General features: G+C 37.5%; 4 annotated features.

The window, feature by feature from the left end:
* Nucleotides 542-1,407: an enhancer, noted in NCBI's record as "OCT4-NANOG-H3K27ac hESC enhancer chr10:55118459-55119324 (GRCh37/hg19 assembly coordinates)". NCBI's record gives its function as "activates a minimal SCP1, AML or CMV promoter by ChIP-STARR-seq in naive and primed H9 embryonic stem cells {active_cell/tissue: H9 hESC(naive and primed)}" and the evidence as "EXISTENCE:reporter gene assay evidence [ECO:0000049][PMID:30033119]".
* Nucleotides 1,408-2,274: an enhancer, noted in NCBI's record as "OCT4-NANOG-H3K27ac hESC enhancer chr10:55117592-55118458 (GRCh37/hg19 assembly coordinates)". NCBI's record gives its function as "activates a minimal SCP1, AML or CMV promoter by ChIP-STARR-seq in naive H9 embryonic stem cells {active_cell/tissue: H9 hESC(naive)}" and the evidence as "EXISTENCE:reporter gene assay evidence [ECO:0000049][PMID:30033119]".
* Nucleotides 3,744-4,243: an enhancer, noted in NCBI's record as "H3K27ac hESC enhancer chr10:55115623-55116122 (GRCh37/hg19 assembly coordinates)". NCBI's record gives its function as "activates a minimal SCP1, AML or CMV promoter by ChIP-STARR-seq in naive H9 embryonic stem cells {active_cell/tissue: H9 hESC(naive)}" and the evidence as "EXISTENCE:reporter gene assay evidence [ECO:0000049][PMID:30033119]".
* Nucleotides 4,244-4,745: an enhancer, noted in NCBI's record as "H3K27ac hESC enhancer chr10:55115121-55115622 (GRCh37/hg19 assembly coordinates)". NCBI's record gives its function as "activates a minimal SCP1, AML or CMV promoter by ChIP-STARR-seq in naive H9 embryonic stem cells {active_cell/tissue: H9 hESC(naive)}" and the evidence as "EXISTENCE:reporter gene assay evidence [ECO:0000049][PMID:30033119]".

The raw sequence follows: 8,249 nt of genomic DNA, 5'->3' as shown, positions 1-8,249 counted from the left end.
GGGAAGGGTAGTAGGGGATTGGGAGGGAGGTGGGGATGGTTAACGGGTATAAAAAATAGAAAGAATGAATAAGACCTACTATTTGATAGCAAAGGAGGGTGACAATAGTCAATAATAACTTAATTGTACATTTTAAAACAACTTAGAGTGTAACTGGATTCTTTGTAACTCAAAGGATAAATGCTTGAAGGAATGAATGCCCCATTCTTCATGATGTGCTTATTTCACATTGCATGTGTGTATCAAAACACCTTGTGTATCCTATAAATATAGACACCTACCATGCACCCACAAACGTTTAAAAATTAAAAATAAATTTAAAATAAATGTTTTATATAAAAATCATTTACGTCCAGTCTTTATAATTTTCAATTGTGGACTATAGTTTAATTCTGGTGTGTGGGATGAGAGGGTGACTTCAAACTGAAACAAGTGAAGAAGATGATAAGATTAAAAAAAAATAAATAGAAGTAATCCAAACATTACTTAGTCCTTATTCTTTCCCCATGATTTAGATAACACAGAGAGACCCAGGTCTTCTATCACACAACACCTTCTAGTTACAAATGTCTGTTATTTATCTGATGTGTGGGAATAACTTTGTCAAAATTACTTTGTCTCAGAACTAGAGGTACCAGATATAAAATGCATACATCCCATTAAATTTAAATTTGAGATAAACAACAATTATTTTATGATACCAGGCTTGTGGTCCTCACTTATATTATTTGCCTTTTGCTCCATAACAAGCTATTCAAAAAGCTATCCCAAAATTTAGTGACTTGAAACAACGCCCATTTATTATTGCTCTGTAGTCAACAGGATGCTTCTGCTGATCTTGTCAGGCCTCTGAGCCCAAGCCAAGCCATCTCATCCCCTGTGACTTGCATGTATACACCCAGCCCAGATGGCCTGAAGTAACTGAAGAATCACAAAAGAAGTGAATATGCCCTGCCCCACTTTAACTGATGACATTCTACCACAAAAGAAGTGTAAATGGCCAGTCCTTGCCTTAAGTGATGACATTACCTTGTGAAAGTCTTTTTCCTCGCTCATCCTGGCTCAAAAAGCACCCCCACTGAGCACCTTGCGACCCCCACTCCTGCCCGCCAGAGAACAAACCCCCTTTGACTGTAATTTTCCTTTACCTACCCAAATCCTATAAAATGGCCCCACCCTTATCTCCCTTCACTGACTCTCTTTTCGGACTCAGCCCACCTGCACCCAGGTGATTAAAAGCTTTATTGCTCACTCAAAGCCTGTTTGGTGGTCTCTTCACAGGGACACGCATGAAAGATCTGGATTAAGTTTGGTTGATATCAGACTTACTTATGCCTCTGGGGTAAGATGAGAGGCTAGCTGATAAGGATTGGTCTTAGGTAGCCTCACTCACATTCCTGGCCAAATGGCAAATAACAAGCTGCGGCAGTGTTAGCACAATGTTTCTTCTGCCATGTACTACTGGCTAGAAAAAGTCATCAAGTGAATATTCAATGGCACAAAGCGATAAGCTGAAATTGAATATACACTTCAATTATGAGTGTTTCTTTCATGCTCACTATGTCTTGGCCAGTACTTTAAGCCAAGAACTCACAGAATGATATACCAACATGGGATTCCTCATTCAAATGCTTAGACCAAGCACAATTTACAATCAGGAAGGCAAAGTGCTGAGCACTTCTCCGTAAGATTTACTGGTCCTATCAAATACTGCAACCCTCAGAAGCTAATGGCCTAACTGGAATGGTACTTTTAAGGTACAATTTAAGTACCAGTTAGGGGAAGACCCGTGAGCAAATCTGGGATGATGCCTTCAAGTTGTGGAACATACTTTGAACCAATGGCCATTATATAGTTAATTGTCCCAGATAGCTACAAACAAAATGGGTCTGGAAATAAAGGAGGAGAATCTAAGAGGCACCACTCCCTAGCATTGTCAGTGATTTATTTGGAAAAGTTTTATTTTATTTTTTTCTGTTCTAACAACTTTAGCCTCTGCAGACTGAGAAGTTTTAGTCCCCACAGGGAGATAAGTTGGGGGTGGGGATGCTTCTATGAGGGAACATAGTAAAGGTTTTATTAAACCTAAGAATATGCTGCCACTTTATTTTGGCAGATTCCTCAGGCTGGCAGACTGGTAAGAAAACAAGGATGACTCTAATTATCTTAATTAGAGTACTCCTAAAAAAGGAGACTATGGCAGAGTGTGTCTGGTATGCAAAGAATTTGCTATGGTGATTCTAGTTACTTTCATACACATCAATAACCATAGATGAGCAATTCCAGAAATGATGGCCTGAAGGCTTTCTCAGTTTTGAGGTGCATACAGCACTTGCACAAACCAGAATGCCTATTTGGGAGGGCAGGGTTTGGTGCCATCAGAAGCACTCCTCAATCACTGACAAACATTAATTGTTGTAATTCTAAGACCTATTCTATGCTATTTCCCAAAGTTTCAACAGCAAGGCTCAGCCCTGGCTGCCTATTGTAGTAATGTGCTTATCAGTTCATTCTTCACAGGCTCTTCTGAAATTGTTCACTCCTCCAATGGTGCTTCCTGGAATCACCTCTCAAATCAATTACTTCGGATAAAATCTTGGTCTCAGTAGATCTAAAATCTGTGGAATGGCATTTTCTCATTCTCAATATTCTCGGGGGAAAAAAAGTTATTAAAATAAGACAAATGTTTTATTTTTTTCCATTTTAAATTAATGCATTTCAAAGAAATCTTGGTTACCTTGTTCTGAAAAAGCCATTCATCTCCTTCCAAAACCAATGATGGTTTATTCTTTTTCCCAAATACTTATGTGCAGCTTTGGGAATCATTTTCTTCCATATTAAGCTTCCCAGTATTTCTGAAATTATGGCAGATTCTGATTCTTGGAAGCAACCAGAACCCTCTGAGCTGCACCTCTATTGAATCATCTCTGTTTACAATGACTCTCACTCAAGTTATTAAGGATGTGATCTCTGCTATTTTTTTCATTAGAAAACCCACACATTACATAATAATTGTTAGGGTTTTTGTTAGTCTGTCTTAAAAAAATACATTTAAAAAATGTACCCAGTGTTGTCAGAGAATATCTTCATTTCAATATCACTTTAATATAGCCCCAGGAAAGTGAACTTTTCAAAAAAGGGAGATAGTTGCATCCAGATTCAATAATACCATATTTCTTCTATACTAAAACCACTAAACACACACACACACACACACACACACACACACACAAATTAGGTGTGATGGTTTATTTTATGTGTCATCTTGGCTGGGCTGCATTAGCCAGTCCTTGGCCATACGCCAGTGTAGACGTTGCTGTGAAGATATAGTTTTTAGATGTGACTAACATTTAAATCAATAGACTTTCAGTAAAGCTAATTACCCTCCATAATATGGGTGGACTTTACCCAATCGGTTGAAGTATTTAAGAGAAAAAGACTGAAGTACCCTGAGGAAGAAACAGTAATTTCTTAAAATAAATTTATTGCTCTTATGTGCATACACATACAGCCATGCATATATGTACACACACACACAAATACACACATGGTTTCTCTGAAGAACCTTGATGAATAATATAAGATTTAATGCTTCCTCACTGCACTAAGATTTATCCAAATTTTAGAATCAATGGTAGAAATACGGTAGAAATGATAATAAGTTATATTCACTGAGTACTTTCATCTAAGTGCTTTTTGTGCATTATTTTATTCTCACAAACACCTTATGCATTTTTTTATTTGTACAAATTTATAGGGCACATGTGCAATTTTGTTACATGCATTGGTTGTATAGTAGCCTAGTCAAGGATTTCAGGGTATTCATTGAACCCATAACGTATTCATTGTACCCATAAACTAATTTAACATTATCTACCTCCCTTGCAATCCTCATCCTTCCAAGTCTCCCCTATCATTCTGCTCTCTAGATCCATATGCGCACATTTTTCTTTAGCACTTACTTTGAGTGAAAACACGTGATACTTGACTTTTTGTGCCTGACTTGTTTCACTTAAGATAATGGCCTTCTGTTCCATCCATGTTGCTGAAAAAGACATGATTTCATTCTTTGTTTTTGTTTTTTTTTTTTTTTTTTGAGACAGAGTCTCTCTCTGTCGCCCAGGCTGGAGTGCAGTGGCGCAAACTCGGCTCACTGCAAGCTCCGCCTCCCGGGTTCATGCCATTCTCCTGCCTCAGCCTCCCAAGTAGCTGGGACTATAGGCGCCCGCCATCATGCCCGGCTAATTGTTGTATTTTTAGTAGAAACGGGGTTTCACCGTGTTAACCAGGCTGGTCTTGATCTCCTGACCTCGTGATCCACCAGCCTCGGCCTCCCAAAGTGCTGGGATTACAGGCGTTGAGCCACCGCGCCTGGCCAATTTCATTCTTTTTTTATGGCTGAATAGTATCCATTGTGTAAATATACCATATTTTCTTTATCCATTCATCTGGTGACAAACAGTTTGATTTTGTATCTTTGGTATTGTGAATAATGCTGTGAAAAACGTATGAGTGAAGGTATCCTTTTGATATAATATCTTTCCCTTTGGGTAGATACCTCATAGGAGAATTGCTGGATTGAATGGTAGTTCTAAGATCTTTAAGAAATCTTCATACCATTTTCCATAGAGGTTTTACTAATTTACATTCCCACCAACGGTGTGTAAGAGTTCCCCTTTCTCCCCATTCCTGTAAACATCTGCTATTTTTTGTCCTTTTAATAATAGCTGTTCTGACTGGAGTGAGATGATACCTCATTGTAGTTTTAATTTGCATTTCTCTGATGATTAGTGATGCTGAAAAATTTTTTCATGTATCTGTTGGCCATTTGTATTTCTTCTTTTGAAAAGTGTCTATTCATGTCCTTTGCTCACTTTTTAATGCAACTATCTGTTTTGGTGTTGCTGTTGAGTTGTTTGAGTTCCTTGTATATTCTGTAGGATGAATAATTTGCAAATATTCTCTCTCATTTTACAGGTTGTCTATTCGCTCTGTTGCTTATTTCTCTTGCTGTGCAGAAGCTTTTATTTTAAGTCCCATTTGCTTATTTTTGTTTTTGTTGCCTGTGCTTTTGAGGTTTTAGTCATAAATTATTTACATAGATCAGTGTCCAGAAAAGTTTTTCCTAGGTTTTCTTTCAGCATTTTTTTATTATTATTATTTTAGTCAGAGTCTTGTTCTGTTGCCCAGGCTGGAGTGCAGTGGCGCGATCTCAGCTCACTGCAAACTCTGCCTCCTGGGTTCAAGCGATTCTCCTGCCTCAGCCTCCCTAGTAGCTGGGCCAACAGGTGCACACCAACACTCCTGGATAATTTTTCTGTTTTTGGTAGAAACAGGGTTTCACTATGTTGGCCAGGCTGGTCTCAAACTCCTGACCTCAGGTGATCTGCCCGCCTCAGCCTCCCAAAGTGCTGGGATTACAGGTATGAGCCACTGTGCCCAGTCTCTTTCAGTATTTTTATAGTTTTTCAAATGTTTAATTCTTTTAACCATCTTGAGTTGATTTTTGTATATCATTAAAGATAGAGGTTCGGTTTCATTTTTATATATATGGCAATCTAAATTTTCCAGTGCCATTTAGTGAAAAGAGTGTTTTTCTCCAATGTATGTTCTTTCAGCTTTGTCAAAGATCAGTTGGCTGCAAATAAGTAGCTTTATTTCTGGGTTCTATTCAGTTCCATTGATCTATGTGTCTATTTTTATAAGAGTACCATGCTGTATTGGTTACTATAGCCTTGTAATATAATTTGAAGTCAGGTAATGATGTGATGTTCCCAGATTTTTATAAAGGATATGTATGTGTGTGTGTGTATGTCATTATGTATGAAATATCTATCAGATCTGAGTTCCTAACTAGAAAATGTTACCCAATTGAAGGTAAAGGGGTCAGGCTAAGCTAATTAGTCTAGTTATAGAGCTTTTTGGTGATTTAATTGTTTTGATTTTAAAAAGCCAATTGAGAATATATGGAGGAATGAATAAACAACACATTTTCTAGTTTTTTTCCATATAGTTTAGTTTGTCTTTTTTTTTTTTTTTTTTTTTTTGGAGGCTTGTCTTTTTATTTCCCCCTAGCCTGGATATCAGGCATAGACACATTGAATTCTGGTTAAGACCCACTTCTTGGATATGCTCTGATGTGTATGAAGAATAATTTACATATTTTAATTCTGGATATAAGAATGTAAAGGTAGGCATAGGTTATGAAATCTGAGAAAATAGGAAAATAAGCTTAGATGTCTGAGAGAGCAGAGTTAGTTCATTTTTTTATAGATGTGTATTATAAATACAAATACCATTTTAACTCAAATATTCACTTAAACATTTTCTTTTTCTTTTTGAGACAGTGTTTTGCTCTTGTTGCCCAGGCTGGAGTCCAATAGTGCGATCTCGGCTCACTGCAACCTCCACCTCCTGGGTTCAAGCGATTCTCCTGCCTCAGCCTCCCAAGAAGCTGGGATTACAGGCATGCACCACCACACCCAGCTAATTTTTTGTATTTAGTAGAGATGGGGTTTTAACATGTTAGTCAGGCTGTTCTCAAACTCCTGATCTCAGGTGATCCACCTGCCTCAGCCTCCCAAAGTGCTGGGACTACAGGTGTGTGCCAACGTGCCTGGCCCTTCACTTAAACTTTTAAGCAAATATATTTTCAGGAAACACTGCCCAAGAGGAAAAAACAAAACTTTCATTCCTATATTACTCTTATAAATGCAACACAAAACTTTCTTGGGTAAATGATTTATGTAAAGGAGAAAAACAAACAATTTCAGTTTTATGAGGTATCAATCTATTATTCATTCTTCACATGATTTCCATTACATAATATCTCATTTGACGTTAGTTGTAGCGTATTTTTTTTAATTTATAAAGGAAAGAGCCTTTTTTTCTTTTAATTTCTAGTTCTGGGGTACGTGTGAAGGATGAGTAAGTTTGTTACATAGGTCAACGTGTGCCATGGTGGTTTGCTGCACCTATCAACCCATCACCTAGGTATTAAGCCCCACACGCATTAGCTAGTTTTCCTAATGCTCTACCTACCCCAACCTCACCCCTCGACAGGCCCCAGTGTGTGTTGGTCCCCTCCCTGTGTCTATGTGTTCTCATTGTTCAGCTCCCACTTATAAATGGGACATGAATATTTTATATATATTTATCTATTTTTCCTTTTTATAATCACTTATGACCAGTGTTTGTTTATAGAACATTTATTTTCCATTCTCTGAACAATTTATTTTCTATAAAATATATGATTCTATTTCTTTTATACAAATTGGAAAAGGTTTTCTTAATTTAATCTTTTTAAAGACTCAGACTATAAATAAATAAAAAGGAAGTGACAATTCTCCAAATATTAACGTCTAGGTAGAAGTTGAGGTGTTTAATATTTTGAAGTGTTTCCAGATGGACAGAAAGAAAACTATGTAGGTAGACAGGTGGATTTATAGGTAACCAGAAAGAACGTCATATTTATGGTAGGCTCATGCTACATATAACATTTGATTGCACATTTTTAAATTTAATGTTGTTGGTATGTTTGCCTTGTATTCTGTTAAGGCAGTATGAGTAGTAATTAAGCTTTGAGTCCAGCCTTTGGCTATTATAGCTTCGGGCAAATTGTTCATTGTCTGTAACCATTGACTCCTCCTTCGTAAAATACACATGATAACATTTACCTCATATAATTAGTATGAGAAAAAAATAAAGCATACGCTCAACAAGTATTAGCCATTATCTTATCATAATTTTACTGATACTCTATAATACCTCAGAATTTAAAAAATACTGACATAACATTTTTATCTAGGCCTTTTCAAACTCTTCTGTTTTTCTACACTATCTTTTTGAAATTGAATTTTATTTCCCAAAGCTTATACGTTTATTTATTTGATTATTTATTTACTCATTTTTGGAGACAGAGTCTCTCCTCTGTCCCTCAGGCTGGTGTGCAGTAGTGCGATCTCAGCTCACTGCAAACTCCACCTCCCGGGTTCAAGCAATTCTCCTGCCTCAGCCTCCTGAGTAGCTGGGATTACAGGCACTGCCACCATGCCCGGCTAATTTTTGTATTTTTAGTAGAGACGGGGTTTTGCCATGTTGGCCAGGCTGGTCTCAAATTCCCAACCTCAAGTGATCAGCCCGTGTTGGCTTTCCCAAAGTGCTAGGATTACAGGCATGAGCCACTGCACCCAGCCCTCCTAAAACATGTACATTTAAAGATTGATATACGGTCGGGCGCGGTGGCTCAC

The sequence above is a fragment of the Homo sapiens genome, chromosome 10, assembly GCF_000001405.40.
Source record: "Homo sapiens chromosome 10, GRCh38.p14 Primary Assembly".
Classification (NCBI taxonomy): Eukaryota; Metazoa; Chordata; class Mammalia; order Primates; family Hominidae; genus Homo; species Homo sapiens.
This window is presented reverse-complemented; position numbering and strand designations above follow the sequence as displayed.